This window comes from Homo sapiens, chromosome X, assembly GCF_000001405.40.
Source record: "Homo sapiens chromosome X, GRCh38.p14 Primary Assembly".
NCBI classification, from domain to species: Eukaryota; Metazoa; Chordata; class Mammalia; order Primates; family Hominidae; genus Homo; species Homo sapiens.
Genome location: NC_000023.11, coordinates 19,467,436 through 19,486,745, shown reverse-complemented (window position 1 = coordinate 19,486,745; position 19,310 = coordinate 19,467,436). Strand labels below are relative to the sequence as shown.

Sequence of the window (19,310 nt, the reverse complement as noted above, 5' to 3'; positions counted from 1 at the left end):
AGACTAACCAGTGGTGATCAATTTTCTTTGGAATATCAATGTTGCAATTCAGAGGTTCATTGTGTTTGAAGCTTTTGGAGAGGGAGGTTTCACATGATTAATTCTTGCTCTAAGGTGGGTGCTTTTATGTGATTAATTCTTACATGATTAATTTCTTTTATAGAGGGGAGTGCTGGCTAATGCTTATGGAAATTAGCTGTTTTACAAAAAGCTATATTCATCTTTTCTTTTTCTTTTCAGGACATGGTAACTCAAAAAAACACAGTAAGTATTAACATTTTCAGAATTTTAATTCTGAAATTAAATGTAAATGTCAATTTGTAAAATGCTTGCCTGAAAATCGCCCAGGTAGCAAGATGACTTCTAATCACGCCTGTGGGTTGTGTTTCTAAGGAGGACAGCTAGAAATCTCCCTATGCCTCAACCGGCCGGCCCCAGGCCCCACTCAGCCATTGAGGCAGTGGGCCAGAAGGCAAGGCAAGGCCAGGCAAGAAAGTGTATGTTCTTCATTACCTGCTGGGACTTTGAGCTGTAACCTTCTGGGTGACTCCTTCTGATCTGGGTCGATGTTCCATGGACCACCAGTAATCGTTTTGCTGGAGTCAATACCTCCCATACTTCCCAAGCAGAGTTTCCCTAATGATGGAGGAACGTGAAGTTGTATGCCAGTTAATATGGGGCAAAAGTTTCTTGCCACAAACGGAAAAGAAGTGGGATGGAATTCTACTTCCTTCTGTCCCATTTATGTACTGAAGTCTCCTGATTTGGCTTAAAAGTTCCTGAAATTACATAGTTTTATTGCCACGTTGGTTTGAATAGTATAATGAAATCACCACCCTAAAAATGTTTTAAAAGGATCTTGGCCTTGGAAATGTTGCCAAGGTTATCCTGTACCCTTGAGTGCACTCCAAGCTGCCCATCCCTCCAGACCTATGGCATTGTGGTTTGAGAAACCGTGACCTAGACTCAGGACAGGCCCTTGGTCCCCCACCTTACAGCCTTAGTCTCCTTCCTGCTAGCTCTTCTAGAAGGAACAGGCCTACAGACTCTCTTCCTATTCCAGTTGGAGTTCCTAGGAGAGGGAGAAAAGGGCCCAGGAGGCAAAGCTTTCCCCTGGGCGCCCTCTGCAGAAGTCCCCAACCTGCAGCTTGGGGGCCCAGGCTTCCCCAGGACCCTGACAGAGCTCCCCACCTGAGACATAAGTTTCAGAAACAGAGCACGTGGTATAGTGCACGTGATTACTATTGGAGCATGAATTTTACAAGCAGGCCTGTAAGATAAGGCATCCGGTGGTTTTAGATTCCTTTTGGAAAAGAAATGGGATCAGGTGTGACTTTTTTTGGTCCCATTTACATGCTGATGTTGTCCACTTGTAAGAGTCTTTCCTGTTCTTCCTAGAGCTTGACTTTTTTTTTTTTTTTTTTTTTTTTTTTTTTTGAGACAGAGTCTCGCTCTGTCAGCCAGGCTGAAGTGCAGTGGTGTGATCTTGGCTCACTGCAACCTCTGCCTCCAGGGTTCAAGCGATTCTCCTGTCTCAGCCTCCTGAGTAGCTGGGATTATAGGCGCCTACCACCACGCCTGGCTAATTTTTGTACTTTTAGTAGAGACATGGTTTCCCAATGTTGGCCAGGCTGGTCTTGAACTCCTGACCTCAAGTGATCTGCCTGCCTTGGCCTCCTAAAGTGCTGAGATTACAGGCGTGAGCCACCTCACCCAGCCTTGATTTTTAAAATTACCTAATTTGTGGAGAAATGGGGAAGAAGTCGAAGGAGATTGGGCCTGAGGCCCAGGAGGTGCAGTTGTAGCCGCAGCCCTGTCTCTAAGTAACACTGGGCAGTCAGTTGTTCCACCCCTGCCTAGGCCTCAGGATCCTCAGCAATAAAATGAGAAATGTTGAACTGTGCTGTTTTGCTCATTGATACCTTCTAGCCCTCAACATCTGTAGTTCCATATTTGTTATACAAGCAAAAAGATGTAACCTGGATTTAATGCAAGAAATGGCTATGAAATGCTGATTCCTTAAAACAGCAAGAGTTACGTTGAGGCAAGGAGCAAGGAAGACAACTCGTTTTCTTTCTCCATTCCTCACTGTTGGATGCATCAGTACTCAGAAATAGTCTCTCGTCCCGGAGACTTGGTGTCACGCTGTTACAATTCCACTACATACCTCCCTCCTGGTGCATTCTCCCTCTTCCAAAACATCCAGGAATTCCTTAACATTCTTAGTAATTCCAAGTATACCTTGGCACTATTCTTCCTAGGTATCTGTTTGCTTTTTAGGAATAAACTTACTCTAAAGCAGCGGTCCCCAACCTTTTCATCACCAGGGACTGGTTTCATGGAAGACAATTTTTCCACAGACCAGAGGTGGGGGATGGTTTCAGGATGAAACTGCTTGACCTCAGATTATCAGGCATTAGATTCTCGTAAGGAGCACGCAGCCTAGATCGCTCACATGTGCAGTTCACAATAGGGTTTGCACTCCTGTAAGAATCTAATGTCACCAATGATCTGACAGGAGGTGGAGTTCAGACAATAATGCTTGCTCACCCACCACTCACCTCCTGCTATGTGGCCTGGTTCCTAACAGGCCACTGACCGGTACTGGTCCATGGCCCCGGGGGTTGGGGACCCCTGCTCTAAAGGATTTGGCAGCTAATCTCTTTGCTATATTTGGCATTATGTTAGAATTTGGTGCCCAGTATTGGTTGTCATGCTTGGCAAGATGTGAAAATTTAGAGCACTCAGAAGACTAAAAGGATCCCAGGTGATGGGATGAGTGGAAAATTGCACTAAGAGGAAAAGCTAAAGGGAACTAAGCCTTGAGGGGTACCATTAGTAGTCATCTTCAAATGCTATCCTCTTTCTGAAAGAAAAGAGACGTTTACTTTTTCCACTCCAGATGGGATGGAAGTAGGGTAAACAGAAAAATGGTTTGGATCAGCAGAATGGACATCTTGCAACTAATGGTGGTTAAACATTAAAATAGAATGTCAAAGTAACTTGGGTGGCTTCTAAGGAGAATTTGCTCAATTGTCCCCTCCATGTGGATTGGGGTGACCCTGGAATCAGACACCTGGATCATACGACCCCAGAGATTCCAAGACAGAATCTGATGGAATTGTGGGTTTATGATCATTTTGGAAAGATTTTGATTAACACACACACACACACACACACTCATAGTTAGTGAACAGTGAAGTCTTATAAATAAGGGGTACGAATTAGATGCCACACCCTGAACATGTAGCCAGGTGTTTGAAATGATTTCTGAATATGTGAAAACCAAGATGCATTGAGATCTCTTTTCAAGGAGTCATTTGATATTTCTAAAATTGTACTTTTACCCAGAAAGGGAGATGGAAAAATAAAAAGTAATAAAATAATAATAACAAAGATAAAATTGTGCTTGATGATGTATTGAATTCAGCTTTATGTGGCAGCGAAGTGGGCACATTTATCTCCATTTCTTTTTTTTTTTTTTTTTTGAGATGGAGTCTTGCCCTGTAGCCCAGGCTGGAGTGCAGTGGCATGATCTTGGCTCACTGCAACCTCTGCCTCCCAGGTTTGAGTGATTCTTCTGCCTCAGCCTCCCGAGTACCTGGGAATACAGGCATGTGCCACCATGACCGGCTAATTTTTGTATTTTTTTTTTTTTTAGTAGAGACAGGGTTTCACCATGTTGGCCAGGCTGGTCTCAAACTCCTGGCCTCAGATGATCCGCCCGCGTTGGCCTCCCAAAGAGCTGGGATTACAGATCACGTTGCCTGGCCATTTGTCTCCATTTCTAGGAGCAGTTGCTTTGCAGGGATGCCGAGGCCAGGAAGCCAAACTCCAGACTTCAGGGTGGACCACCTGCAGCTCTTCTGGGTTTCTTTGCTCTTTGGAAACATGGTATCACCTTTTGTGTTCACCTCTTTTTCAGATGATGCTCATATTCTTGTGTTCTGGTTTTGTTTTGTTTTTTTGAAATGCTTTATGTAGGTATAATTTACATACCACAAAATGTACCTAGTTTAAGCACACACAATTCAATGATTTTTAATAAATGACATAATTGTGCAGCCAGTTGTGGGTTGTGTACCACAGTCTAGTTTTAGAGCATTTCCCTGACCCCAAAATGCTTATTTGCAGACAATCTCTCTTCCCACACCCAGCCCCAGGCAAGAACTAATCTGCTTTTTGTCTTATAGACTTGCCTTTTCAAGACTTCTCATGTGAAAGGAACCATACAATATGTGATCTTTTGCATCTGGCTTCTATCACTTAGGATGATGTTTTCGAAGATCATCCTTAATGCACTAGGATCATGGATGCATGGATCAGTAGTTCTTTCCTTTTTATTACTGAATGGTATTCTACTGTATAGATATTCCACATTTTATCCATTCCCTAGTAGATGGATTTTTGGATCGTTTCTACTTTCTGGCTATTATGAATAATACCACTGTGAATATTCGAGTGCAAATCTTTGTGTGGGCACATTTTTTTTTTCCTCTTGGATACATACCTAGGAATGGAATTGCCAAGTCATATGGTAAATATAGGCTTTTTTTTTTTTTTTTTGAGCTGGAATCTCACTCTGTCGCCCAGGCTGGAGTGCAATGGCGCGATTTCGGCTCACGGCAACTTCTGTCTCCCGGGTTCAAGTGATTCTCCTGCCTCAGCCTCCTGAGTAGCTGGGATTATAGGCGCCCACCACCACGCCTGGCTAATTTTTTTTGTATTTTTAGTAGAGATGCGATTTCATCATATTGGACAGGCTGATCTCGAACTCCTGACCTCAAGTGATCCACCTGCCTCAGCCTCCCAAAGTGCTGGGATTACAGGTGTGAGCCACCGTGCCTGGCTGGTAAATATACCTTTAATTTCTTAAGAAACTGTCAAAACAATTCCAAAGTGGCTGTACCATTTTACATTTCCACCAGCAGTGAGAGGTCCAGTATCTTCACATCCTTGCCAATACTTGATATCATCTGTCTTTTTATTATAGCCATTCTAGTGAGTATGAACTGATACCTGAGTGTACTTTTAGTTTGCATTTCCCTAGTGGCTAATAATGTTGAGCATCTTTTCATGTGCTGATTGGTCATTCATAGTCTTCTTTGGTGAAATGTCTGTTCAAATCTTTTGCCCGTTTAAAATTGGGCTGTGTTCTTATTACGAAGCTGTGTAAGAGTTCTCTATACATTTTGGAAGCAAGGCCCTTATTAGAGGTTTTATCAATTATTTCTTTTATGGATCGTGCTTTTGGTATATCTGTGAACTCTTAGCCCAAACCAAGGTCATGAAGTATGACTCCTATGTTTTCTTTTAGAAGTTTTATAGTTTTAGCTCTTACATTTAGGTCTCTGATCCATTTTGAGTTAATTTTTTTGTCTGGTGTGAGGTAGATGTCCAACTTCATTCTTTCTCATTTGGATCCCTAGTTGTCCCAGCACTGTTTCTTAAAAAAAAGAAAAAAAAAAACTGTCTTGTCATCTTTGAATCATCTTTCCACCCTCGTCAAAATCAATTGACTGTATACGTAAGGGTTTATTTTTGGACTCTCAATTATACTCCATTGACATATGTGTCTACTCTTATGCTAATACCACACTGGTTTAAAACTTTTTTTTTTTTTTTTTTTTGAGACAAGTTCTCGCTCTGTCACCCAGGCTGGAGTGCAGTGGTGCGATCATGGCTCACTACAGCCTTGACTTCCCCTGGTTCAGGTACTCCTTCCACCTCAACCTCCCGAGTGCCTGGAATTATAGGTGTGCACCACCACGCCCAGCTAATTTTTTTATTTTTTGTAGAGATGGGGTTTTGCCATGTTGCCCAGGCTGGTCTCAAACTCCTGGGCTCGAGCAGTCTGCCCACCTCAGCCTCCCAAAGTGCTGGGATTACAGGCATGAGCCACCATACCCAGCCCTTTTTTTTTTTTTTGAGACAGAGTTTCACTCCAGCCCAGGCTGGAGTGCACAGGCTCCGCTCACTGCAACCTCTGCCTCCCGGGTTCAAGCAATTCTCCTGCCTCAGCCTCCTGAGTAGCTGGGATCACAGGTGCCCGCTACCACGCACGGCTAATTTTTTTTTTTTTTTTTTTTTTTAAGTAGAGACCGGGTTTTGCAGTGTTGGCCAGGCTGATCTCGAACTCCTGACCTCAGGTGATCCACCTGCCTTGGCCTCCAAAAGTGCTGGAATTACAGGCACAAGCCACCGTGCCTGGCCCGCACCCGGCCCTTTTTAAAAAATTTATTTTTCTTTGTTTTTTGTTTTGTTTTGAGACAGGGTCTTACTCTGTCACCGCAGCTGTGGTGCAGTAGTGCAATCACAGCTCACTGCAGTCTGCACTATTTTGATTACTATAGCTTTGTAGTAATTTTTGAAATTTGGAAGTGCGAATCCTCTAACTTTGTTCTTTTTCAACATTGTTTTGGCCATTTGGGGCCTCTCAAAGTTCCATATGAATTTGAGGATCAGCTTTTCCATTTCTGGAGAAAAAAAAAGCCATTGAATATTGATAAGGATTGCATCGTATCTGTAGATTGCTTGGCTGGTATTGACATCTTAATAGTTTTAAGTCTACTAATCTGTGAATGTGGGATGTCTTTCCATTTATTTAGGTCTTCTTTAATTTATTTCAGCAATATTTTGTAGTTTTCCATGTACAGGTCTTTCACTTTCTTGGTTACACTTACTCCTGTGTATTTTATTCTTTTGGATACTCTTGCGAATGGAATTGTTTTCTTAATTTCTTTTTCAAGGTTGACTTTAAAAAAACACCTGTCACAAAAATCTTCAACACTACATTTCACTTCATATTTCAGTATTTGATTGAGTTGAAAATGTAATTGACTTTTTGGTCAGAGTTCTATACAAATGGCTTCTGGTTTTTCCTGTATTTTCATCCATTTTAATTCTTACACTATTTTATACTGCTTTGGAGATGACAGAGATAGCCACTTTCTGCAGTTTATCACTTTAGAGAAAACATGTTTATATGGTGACAGATCAAGGCTGTCTTTATGAAAGTAAAAGAGTGAAAATACAGCCAACCCCAAGGCTACTTTATCTGTTTAACCTTGGAACTTCCTAGTACTTTGCCACTAGTGTACATAGTCCATAGGCATTGCGTAGCTTCATTTGTTTTAATTTTCCTTAGCAAGGATAATCATACCTTTATACTTACAGCTTATTTTGCAGGTTGATTTCCTCTAGACTCAGACTCTGAGGCTGAGTTTAGGGTACAGGAGGTTTATTAAGGGATGCCTTTGGGATGGCTGCTGGGGAAGGGGAGTAAATGAAGCGGGACTGGCCAGAGGGAGACATGCAGCTGAGATGCAGGCTCAATGACAGCTTTGGCTGACCACATTGGGAGGGAGGTCTGGAGCTGAAATGGCCTTTCTGAGTTGTCTTGGGTTGGGATGAAATGGCCAGGCCTCTATGTTCCTCCATTTGTCCTTCATCACTAGGAATGTAGCTTGGATGAGATACTCTCTGGAACTGACACAGTTCAGAAGGGACTAACAGTAAGGGGCTGCTTCCTAACGAGCTCCCAGAAACTGGGGCAACACATCCTTCCTTGAGGTTGGGTTGGGGGGTTCTGGGTAGTATACCTGCATATCCACCACATTATAATTATTTCATTTGAGAAATGTGTGTATGTATGTGTGTCATATATACCCCAAGACTAAGAAATACATTTCCAAGGCTTAGAGGTACTGCTATAATTTTTTTCCACTGAATTGGTGGGTAAATTACCTGAAAGCTGTGCATAGCCTTGCTAGAGAGGCACCATGGAGACAAGCACCTTCTCTGTCCCCCAGGAGAATTACTGGGAGAAAACAAGGTGTTCTACCCAACACTTGCAGAAGGAATTGTTAAAAGTACATTGGACTTTATTTTCATTTGTCATGTCCTAAAGCCAGAGTTCACAGTTGTTTTTTTAAAAAGCAGAGTTAAATTTCCAAGCTAAGATCACATTATTAAAAAAAAAAAAAACCTTATTAAAAAACACGTTATTAAAAAACTAATCTGGTTCTTGACCTCTGGTTTAGGTGATTTTTTTTTTCTGGAAAGCCAGTGAGATTTAAGAGAAACTCATTGTTGCCATTAAAATGGTTATCTTTATAATCCAAATAAATTAGAAATTCTTTGAAAAACAGACACTGGCAATATTGGAGACAGTGTCTTCAATACTCGAAGTCTCTCCTCTGGCTTAGGAACATGTGTAGGTCTCGGTCAGGGTAACAATTTCTCCTGTTTTTTTCCTCTTGCCATTCTCAGGCCTTCAGTTTCCTATGGCTTAGGACTCAAAATGATCAAAGATGATATGGATTGCTTAGGGACGCTTTGGTAGAAAGACAATTAAGTTTCTTTTCTCTTTTCTGTATCCTTTGGATTTTCTGAGTTCAAAAGATTTCTAGTACTTTTATTAGCAAAGACTCAATTTCAAACAAGAAAGCTACATCTCATAATAGGGAGAATTTTATTTTACTCACAGAACATGAATTATGTAAAAATCTCAGTTGGTTCTTTCTCTCTCCCTCCCTCTTTCTCTCTCCCCCTCCTTCCCTCTCTCTCTCTCTCCCCCTTACCCTCCCCCCCTTCCCCCCTCTCTCCCCCTCTCTCCCCCTCTCCCCCTCTCCCCCCTCTCCCCCTCTCTCCCCCCTCTCTCCCCCCTCTCCCCCTCTCTCCCCCCTCTCCCCCTCTCTCCCCCCTCTCCCCCCTCTCCCCCTCTCTCCCCCCTCTCCCCCCCCTCTCCCCCCTCTCTCCCCCCTCTCCCCTCTCTCTCCCTGTCCTTCCCTCTCTCTCTCTCCCTGTCCTTCCCTCTCTCTCTCTGTCTCCCTGTCCTTCCCTCTCTCTCTCTCTCTCTCTCTCCCTGTCCTTCCCTCTCTCTCTCTCCCTCTCTCCCCATCCCTCCCTCCCTCTCCCTCTCTCCCCCCGTCCCTCCCTCCCTCTTTCTTCTCCCTCTCCTTCTTTTCTTCCTTCATTCCTTTTTCTTTTCTTTTCTCTTTTCTTTTCCCCTTCTTTTCTTCTTTTTTTTTTTTTTTCTAACACTCTTGCTCTGTTGCCCAGGCAGGAGTGCAGTGGCATGATCTTGGCTCATTGCAACCTCCACCTCCCAGGTTCAAGCGATTCTCCTGCCTCAGCCTCCTGAGTAGCTGGGATTATAGGTGCCCACCACCATGCCCGGCTAATTTTTGTGTTTTTAGTAGAGATGGGGTTTAACCCTGTTGGCCAGGCTGGTCTTGAACTCCTGAGCTCAGATGATCTGCCTGCCTTGGCCTTGGCCTCCCAAAGTGCCGGGGTTACAGGCATGAGCCACCATGCCCAGCCCCTTTGCATATTTATTTTATTTTTGTATGTTCTGTTATTTCTGCCTCATCTTAGGTTGTTAGTCTTTTTGTCTTTTTGTTGTTGTTGTTGTTGTTGTTCCTGCCTGTGGTCTTGGTCCTGTGTGTTCTCTTCAATTGGAGTACTCTGGGTCTGTGAACCATAAAACTTTTCTCTGCACCTCTTGAATATCAGAGGGGTAATGTCAGATTTCACAGGGCCAATGTCAGAACCAAATTATTCATATTTAATTCTACCTGCCAACTGGATATGTCTTTCATATCCATGGCACCCATCTATTTTCTTTAAATCGAGACATAATTCACAGACCATAGAATTTGCCATTCACTCATCTGCTTATGTTGAGTTCTTTGTACAGCTTTATTTAAGGATATTTCAGAATTAAGCAGAAGTGGCAGTTAATGACTAGAATCCTGGGAGGACAGGGGTAGGGCCTGAGATTATCTGGCTCCGTGGTCATCTGTAGGCCAGTTGGTTAACCTGCTGGGTCTTGGTTTCTTCCTCTGTTAAATGAGATGATTTTAATGAGGTGACTTTTGAGATTTGTGCCAGCTCTGAAATAATCCTGTGACTTTGTGATGGCCATTCAGTTGTGTAAACAAAGTAAATCAACTGTCACAACAGGTTAATTAGCACTCCATGGCACGTTTCCAGCAGGGATATCTTCGTTTACTTTTAAGTGGCACCGTATCCTGATTATCCTGTTGAAATTGTTATACAGTTTCTGAATATTTTTTTCCTCCTATGACCAGATAATTAGAGAAAAGGAGTAGTGTAGAATGCTATTTGCGTTGCTCTAAAAAGAAAACCACTGCATTTTTCTGGACAATGTATATATGTATGTATCTAGCTGGCTAGACAAATAATTATATCTGTTGAGCCTAAAGCTTATCTTTTTTGGAGTTGTGTCAACTTGGATTTTCTTCTACAATAAATTAACTTTGTCATACCTGGTCACATGAAATAATATAAAAAATCCATTGCCCCGTATTTGTTCATTTGCTCCCTAAATTTTCCTGGGAACAATCTTCTGTGTTTTTTCAGTTGCGGTTTTCACTAAGTATTTGTGACCCACTTGTGTTAAAAGATATAAGCTCCAAAGTATCACATTGTGCCACCAGTTGAGATGTGCATTCTTCTGAAAGTGCTCAGAAATCAGTTCATCTTGAGTAGTGTTAAGTGGCTTTCTATCTGCCTTAGATACTTTATTTCCCTCTTCTCACTTGGCCATTTGTTGACTGATTAAATGTTTGTATCATTATAAAAGATGTTTTCTGGAAGGCCAAGCCACAAGTCTCATTATGAAGTTCGCTGGTACAAACTCAGACATATCATATTTGCTGCAAAGAATTAATTTATAAACCCTGTGCTGCTGTTGACCAGCTTTGCCACCTGCTGTGAGCCATAAATAAAAATAAGTGCTGGTGTAATGAGGGACCTTGGCTTGTATATCTTTCTTGGCCTTCTTGGACCTTTGGATGCCTTGCATGGGGTGCCTGCGGAAAAGAAGGAAAATATAGCCAACCCCAAGGCTACTTTATCTATTAAACCTTGGAATTTTTTAGTAGTTTGCCATTAGCGTACATAGTCCACAGGTATTGCGTAGCTTCATTTGTTTTAATATTCCAGCTGTGGAGGAGCCAGCTGAGGAGCAAATCCTAGGTGTCCTTAGTTAGTGGCCATGATTGAAGCCAATGGACAATTGAGTGGAGGCTCTGACATGCTCTGCTCCTGGGCTGTCCTGAAGAATCTAGGAAGCTGTTTGCAGATGGGCCTTGCACTGTTTATTCGTGGAGAGCTTTATATGTGCAGCCCACTGAAGGAAGTCCGACATTTTAGGCCTGCAGTTAGGATGTTCTACGTGAAGCATCTAAGAGTCACGATTGGGGGTTTTTAGCCTTTTAGGGGTCACGGGACCCCTTTGCCAGTCTGGAGGAGCCTATGGGCCCTTCCCAGAATATGTTTTAAAGCAAGGGTCCTCAACCCCTGGGCCACCCGACCGGGCCGCACAGCAGGAGGTGAGCAGCGAGCGAGGAAAGCTTCATCTGTATTTATAGCTGCTCCCCCATTGCTCGCATTACCGCCCGAACGCTGCCTCCTGTCAGATCAGCAGCGGCATTAGATTCTCATAGGAGCATAAACCCTATTGTGAACTATGCATGTGAGGGATCTAGTTTGTGTGCTCCTTATGAGAAACTCATGCCTGATGATCTCTCACTGTGTCCCATCATTCCCAGATGGGACCGTCTAGTTGTAGGAAAACAATCTCAGGGGTCCTGTTGATTCTACATCACAGTGAGTTGTATAATTATTTCATTATATATTATAATGTAATAATAATAGAAATAAAGTGCACAATAAATGTAATGCACTTGAATCATCCTGAAACCATCCTCCCTGCCCCTGCCCACCTGGTCCGTGGAAAAATTTTTTTCCATGAAACCAGTCCCTGGTGCCAAAAAGGTTGGGGACCACTGTTTTAAAGTGTTTAAATACAAAGAATTACAAAGGAGACCCTTCATATCAAAATACAGTTATCAAAATATTTTAAAGTTATATATAATTATGTGCTTCTTTACTAATGTCTTAAATAATGAGATCAAACAGCAGATCTTAAAAACTGTCATAATATTTGGAGTAGTGATGGGCATAAAAGTTATTCTGAGATCTCCGCAGGAACTGTAATGTGATATGAAAAAGTCTGTGACTCCTGTTACCAACAAAGTCTCAAGTCTCAAGTCTACTACTAGGGTATGTTACCTACATTCCCTAAGTGAGGGAAATGTTATGTTTCAGTTGAGGGCAAATGATGGCAATGATGTAATTTTTTTCTCTTTCAAGTTCACAGACCCCCCCCCCCAACCTCCAAGAATGACTGGATCTCAGGTTTAGAACTCCTAGTCCCTTCTAGAACTATTGCACATAGAGAATATTTGTGCAAAAAAAAATGGCCATGATTAAGCCTCTATCATCTAATGAGGCTGACACTATTATCATCTCCCTCTTAAAGATGAGAAAACTGAGGTTTAGATAGATGAGTACATTTTTCAGGGTCATCCATTTAGGATGGGATGGAGCTGGAATTCAATCCTTGGCCCTCTGAATTCTTTACTACATTGCTATGCTTGAGTTGAGATGATACTTTGTTTCTATATTGATAAAGTATTTCTTGTTCACCACACTTCACAAATGTGAAAAACAATACTATCCAGTTCAGCTGAGAGGACGAATAAATTAGCATGCCCTTATACACTGTGGGTGGGAGTGTAAATTGCTCCATCCTTTATGACAGCAGTTTGGTCAACATATATTAAGAACCTTAAATTTGTTCTAGTAATTTTACTCCTGGGAAGATATCCTTAGGAAAAGATCACAGTACAAAGATGCCATATGCAAAGATGTTCATCTCAGTGACACTTACAGTAAGGAAATTTCAAAACAAACAAAGTTAGGCAATAGAAGAATGGTTAAGTATCCTATATATATTTACCAGATGGTGTATTAGGCAGGCATTTAAAATTATGGCACTTAAGACTATATAATTAAGCTTTTGTAATGAGTCCTTATTAAAAGCACCTATTATTTAATTGAGTGATGACATAGGACAGTCTTTTCATGGTGGTGATATTTGTAGATGGTAGTAGTTCTGGAAATGGCAATTGCTAGGTCAGGAACTAAAACCTTTAGAGGAAAAATTCCTCCGCTTCCTATCCCCACGCTGTCAGAGACTAGTGGCTTTTCCTTGGGCCTCTGACTTCACTTACTATATCAGAATCACCGTTTTGGAAATATTTGGAGAGTGTTTAGAATAGGACTTTACATTTTAATGTGGTTAGCATACTGGTTCAAATACCTCTTTATGTAGGAAACTAAACTGCGTTTGTTAAATTTGTTTTAATGAGCTGGATTCTTGAGATGTTTCCACTTATAAATGTAACAACTACAAATAGCTGATCCTAGTTTGCTATTGAACATGTGTTATGGTAATCATTGTTTTTATTTTTAATTTCTGGTCTCTTGACCAACAAGAGTCTGAATGTGTTCCATCACTTGAAGATGTTTAGGTTTATTCTTCCTCTTTGTAAGAACAAAAGTACTGTACTTAAGAGCTTGTGCTTTCACTTGGAAGTCTATTAATTCCTTTTTAAAATGTAGTTGTTAGTCCCAATTTCTGCCAAATTTCTTAAACTTTCTGGAAGACTTTCCCAAAGGAAGTATTTTTACCTTCCCAAAGTCTCCGGATTCCTGCTGTCTCCTCAGTCCTGTTCATTAAACTCACTCAACTGGTTTCAGAGTTCATGCATTTCTTTTCTTTCTCCTTATTTTTCTCTAACTATGGCTAAACGTTTGCTCCGTGGATCAGATCCTCTGCTGACTGGGGGGTAGACTTCATCAGTTTCTGCTGCTAGTGCTCTGCCTTCTTGAACAGTATTTCTTTTTCACCAAAGAACTTGTGATGGCATTTACCATGTTTGTCAAAATCCAGTTTTTCACACCTCATTATTTAGGATTTGATCAGAACTCTGGGGCAAAGTTGACTCTTGTAATATTTGGGAGGACTAGGTTTGCTAAAGGAATAACGTCAAAATTTCAGCAGAAATGTTTGTTTTGGAGACAGTTGTAAGACATATAACAATTCTTTACAAATAGGTTAGATTCTTGTATCTTCAATTTACCTACCTGTTACAGAAGCTCAGGGTTATTTAATTGTAATAAGTATTTTTGTATTATGTCTTTTAAAGAAACAGAATAAAAGAGAATGTAGGTAGGGGGAGAGAGAGAGTTATATTAACCTTTTTATTTACCATTTCTGATACTTTTCATTTGTTCCTGTGGATTCAAGTTACCATTTGGTGTCATTTCCTTATTCCAATATAGCCTTGTTCCTACCAATATCCTTTTGCTGTTATTTTCAAATGTATTACATTTCTGTATAAGCCGCAACACATGATTATAAACATCATTTTCTGCAACTGCTTTTTAAACCAGTTAAGAGAAGAAAAGAGGAAATTTGCAATTATACTATCTTTTATAATTGCATGCATAACTACCTTTACTGGTATTCTTTGTTTTTTATCACGTGAATTCAAATTACTATCTGGTGTCATTTGCTTTCAGCCTGAAGAAATTTCTTTATTATTATTATTATTATTATTATTATTATTATTATTATTATTTTTGAGACAGAGTCTCGCTCTATGGCCCAGGCTGGAGTGCTGTGGCGCGATCTCAGCTCACTGCAAGCTCCACCTCCCAGGTTCATGCCATTCTTCTCCCTCAGCCTCCGGAGTAGCTGGGACTACAGGAGCCTGCCACTACGCCCGGCTAATGTTTTGTATTTTTTTAGTAGAGATGGGGTTTCACTGTGTTAGCCAGGATGGTCTCAATCTCCTGGCCTCGTGATCCACCCACCTTGGCCTCCCAAAGTGCTGGGATTACAGGCGTGAGCCACCGCGCCCGGCCCCTTTAGTATTTTTGTAAGATGGGTCTGCTAGCATTATCTCAGCTTTTGTTGATCTGAAAGTGTTCATATTTCATCTTCATTTTTGAAAGATAGTTTTAGTGGATATAAAATTCTTGGCTGACTTTTTTTTTCTTTCAGCACTTTGAATATGTCATCCCGTGGCCTTCGTTGTTTCTAATGAAAAGTCAGACATTAATCTTACTGGAATTCTCTTGTATATGACAAAACATTTTTCTCTTGCTGCTTTCAGGATTTTCACTCTTTATCTTTCAAAGTTAACTGACACATCTGGGTGTGGACCTCTTTGCCTTTATCCCACTTGGAGTTCATTTGGCTTCTTGGATATGTAGATTTAATTTTTTAAAAAATGATATCTGGGGCCGGGCACGGTGGCTCATGCCTGTAATCCCAGCACTTTGGGAGACCGAGGTGGGTGGATCACCTGAGGTTGGGAGTTCAAGACCAGCCTGACCAACATGGAGAAACCCTGTCTCTACTAAAAATACAAAATTAGCTGGTGTGGTGGTGCATGCCTTAATCCCAGCTACACAGGAGGCTGAGGCAGGAGAATTACTTTAACCTGGTAGACGGAGGTTGTGGTGATCCAAGATCGTGCCATTGCACTCCAACCTGGGCAACAAGAGTGAAACTCCATCTCAAAAAAAAAAAATCATATTTAGGAAGTTTTCAGCAATTATTTCTTTGAGTATTTTTCTGCTCCTTTCTCTCCTCTTCTTCTGGGACTCATATTAGGTGTCACATATGTTGGTGCACTTAATGCTGTCCCATGTTCCTTTAAGACTTTGTTCATTTTTTCTTTTTCTGTCTTGTTCTTCAGATTGCATATCTCTATTTTTCTATCTTCAAGTTTGCTGATTATTTCTTCTGCCACTCAAATTGCCTGTTGAGCCTCCTGAGTGAATTTTTCATTTTGGCTGTTGTACTTTTCAACTTCAGAATTCCTACCCCCCCTCCTTTTTTTTGGTAATTTTTCTTTATCTTCTGTGTTTGAGATACTGTTATAATACCTTCCTTTAATTCTTTAAGTATGGTTTCCCTTAGTTCTTTGAACGTATTTGTAATATCTGCTTTCAAGTCATTGTCTGCTACATTTAATATCTGGGTCCTTTCAAAGGCAGTTAGCATTGCCTACTGTTTTTCCCATATGTGGATCACACTGTCCTGTATTTGCATGTTTTGTATTTTTTGTTGACAACTGGACATTTCAGATAATATATTGTAGAAACTCCAGATACTGATCTTTCTCCCTTCTGCCTCCGGGGCATGTTGTTTTTGTTGTTTACTTGTTTATTTGTTTCATGACTTGACTAGTTCAGTGAAGTCTATTTTTCTGCAATGGGCAGCCTCTGATGTCACTTCTTTTTTTTTTTTTAATTTAAGTTTTAGGGTACATGTGCACAACGTGCAGGTTTGTTACATATGTATACATTTGCCATGTTGGTGTGCTGCACCTATTAACTCGTCATTTAGCATTAGGTATAGCACCTAATGCTATCCCTCCCTGCTCCCCCCACCCCACAACATTCTCCGGTGTGTGATGTTCCCCTTCCTGTGTCCATGTGTTCTCATTGTTCATTTCCCACCTAAGAGTGAGAACATGTGGTGTTTGATTTTTTGTCCTTGTGATAGTTTGCTGAGAATGATGGTTTCCAGCTTCATCCATGTCCCTACAAAGGACATGAACTCATCCTTTTTTATGGCTGCATAGTATTCCATGGTGTATATGTGCCACATTTTCTTAGTCCAGTCTATCGTTGTTGGACATTTGGCTTGGTTCCAAGTCTTTGCTATTGTGAATAGTGCCGCAATAAACATACATGTGCATGTGTCTTTATAGCAGCATGGTTTATAATCCTTTAGGTATATACCCAGTAATGGGATGGCTGGGTCAAATGGTATTTCTAGTTCTAGATCCCTGAGGAATCGCCACACTGACTTCCACAATGGTTGAACTAGTTTACAGTCCCACCACCAGTGTAAAAGTGTTCCTATTTCTCCACATCCTCTCCAGCACCTGTTGTTTCCTGACTTTTTAATGATTGCCATTCTAACTGGTGTGAGATGGTATCTCATTGTGGTTTTGATTTGCATTTCTCTGATGGCCAGTGATGATGAGCGTTTTTTCATGTGTCTTTTGGCTGCATAAATGTCTTCTTTTGAGAAGTGTCTGTTCATATCCTTCGCCCACTTGTTGATGGGGTTGTTTGTTTTTTTCTTGTAAATTTGTTTGAGTTCATTGTAGATTCTGGATATTAGCCATTTGTCAGATGAGTAGATTGCAAAAATTTTCTCCCATTCTGTAGGTTGCCTGTTCACTCTGATGGTAGTTTCTTTTGCTGTGCAGAAGCTCTTTAGTTTAATTAGATCCCATTTGTCAATTTTGGCTTTTGTTGCCATTGCTTTTGGTGTTTTAGACATGAAGTCCTTGCCCATGCCTATGTCCTGAAAGGTATTGCCTAGGTTTTCTTCTAGGGTTTTTATGGTTTTAGGTCTAACATGTAAGTCTCTAATCCATCTTGAATTAATTTGTGTATAAGGTGTAAGGAAGGGATCCAGTTTCAGCTTTCTCCATATGGCTAGCCAGTTTTCCCAGCACCATTTATTAAATAGGGACTCCTTTCCCCATTGCTTGTTTTTGTCAGGTTTGTCAAAGATCAGATAGTTGTAGCTATGCGGCATTATTTCTGAGGGCTCTGTTCTGTTCCATTGGTCTATATCTCTGTTTTGGTACCAGTACCATGCTGTTTTGGTTACCGTAGCCTTGTAGTATAGTTTGAAGTCAGGTAGCGTGATGCCTCCAGCTTTGTTCTTTTGGCTTAGGGCATTCAATTAGGAAAAAAGGAAGTCAAATTATCCCTGTTTGCAGATGACATGATTGTATATCTACAAAACCCCATCATCTCAGCCCAAAATCTCCTTAAGCTGATAAGCAACTTCAGCAAAGTCTCAGGATACAAAATCATTGTGCAAAAATCACAAGCATTCTTATACGCCAATAACAGACAGAGAGCCAAATCATGAGTGAACTCCCATTCACAATTGCTTCAAAGAGAATAAAATACCTAGGAATCCAACTTACAAGGGATGTGAAAGGCCTCTTCAAGGAGATCTACAAACCACTGCTCAGTGAAATAAAAGAGGATACAAACAAATGGAAGAACATTCCATGCTCATGGGTAGGAAGAATCAATATCGTGAAAATGGCCATACTGCCCAAGGTAATTTATAGATTCAATGCCATCCCCATCAAGCTACCAATGACTTTCTTCACAGAATTGGAAAAAACTACTTTAAAGTTCATATGATGTCACTTCTTAAAGGGCACACTCTTGGGCATGCGCACAGTTATTCTGACTCTTGTATCCTCACCCAGGAATGACAGTAGTTGCAGCTAGGCTCTCTTTGACTGTCTGTTTCCCTGATCTCCCTGTTAAGTTTCTGACTAATCTTCTGTATTGGTCTTACACAACTGGTACTACACTGAGTTGTTAGTCTCCCTCCTTAGCTGATTGTTCTATTGCTTTTGACAATACCTTGAGGCATAATTGTTCCACAGTTTGATACAATTAAAGTTTTGCAGGAATAGTCCTTAAAACTAATCCCTAAGGCTTGGTCTGACCTCAGGAAGGTTCCTCCTAGCTGTCTCTTTCCCATTTCTCTCTGTTAAACTTCTAGCTGGTCTACCCTTTACATATTCCTATCACAGAGCTACCAGCCTTCTCTTAATTGCCAGCCACCAAAATCTCCATAATGTTTTGTACAGCACTCATGAGCTTAAACTTCCCCATGGCACATTCTGCATGAAGTCACTCTCCTTGTGAAGAGCTGCAGTTCTTACAGCCTGCCTTTCTCCTGGTCAGAGCTCTGTACCACTGCTGTGGAGATGGCAGTGGAAACAGCAGTCTGTTTCTCTTGGGGTGACACTCTGCTCTGTGAGTGGGGTGCTGGCTGGGGGCAACAGCCTCTAGTCTTCTCAGCTTGCCTCTCTTGGCATAGAACCTTCATTCTGTGAGGGAGCTGGGGCAGGGACAATCAAGTTTCAGCATTCTTGGCCTGTTTTTTGTTTGTTTCTTTGTTTTTGTTTTGTTTTGAGACGGAGTCTTGCTCTGTTGCCCATGTTGGAGTGCAGTGGTACGATCTCGGTTCACTGCAACCTCTGCCTTCCGGGTTTAAGCAATTCTCCTGCCTCAACCTCCCACGTAGGTTTCACTGCAACCTCTGCCTCCCGGGTTTAAGCAATTCTCCTGCCTCAGCCTCCCAAGTAGCTGGGATTACAGGCGCCTGCCACCACACCTGGCTAATTTTTGTATTTTTAGTAGAGAGGGGGTTTCACCATGTTGGCCAGGCTGGTCTCTAACTCCTGTCCTTGTGATCCATCCACCTCGGCCTCCCAAAGTGCTGGGATTACAGGTGTGAGCCACTGCGCCCAGTCTCTTAGCCTGTTTTGCCTAGGGTAGAGCTTCTACCCTACAGGTGTAGGCTG

At 41.5% G+C, this 19,310-nt stretch overlaps 1 protein-coding gene across 5 annotated transcripts in view; it reads left to right on the top strand.

The window, feature by feature from the left end:
- The window catches only part of MAP3K15 (mitogen-activated protein kinase kinase kinase 15), a 155,450-nt gene that overhangs the window by 28,763 nt on the left and 107,377 nt on the right, over positions 1-19,310 (top strand). For all 5 annotated transcript variants that reach the window (XR_007068188.1, NM_001001671.4, XM_011545508.4 and 2 more), the window contains exon 3: positions 241-264. Coding sequence is in view for 4 of the 5 variants with exons in the window: in NM_001001671.4 (NP_001001671.3) it covers positions 241-264 (24 nt within the window). In the remaining variant the exon portion in view is untranslated. The remainder of the gene's footprint in view (positions 1-240; positions 265-19,310) is intronic.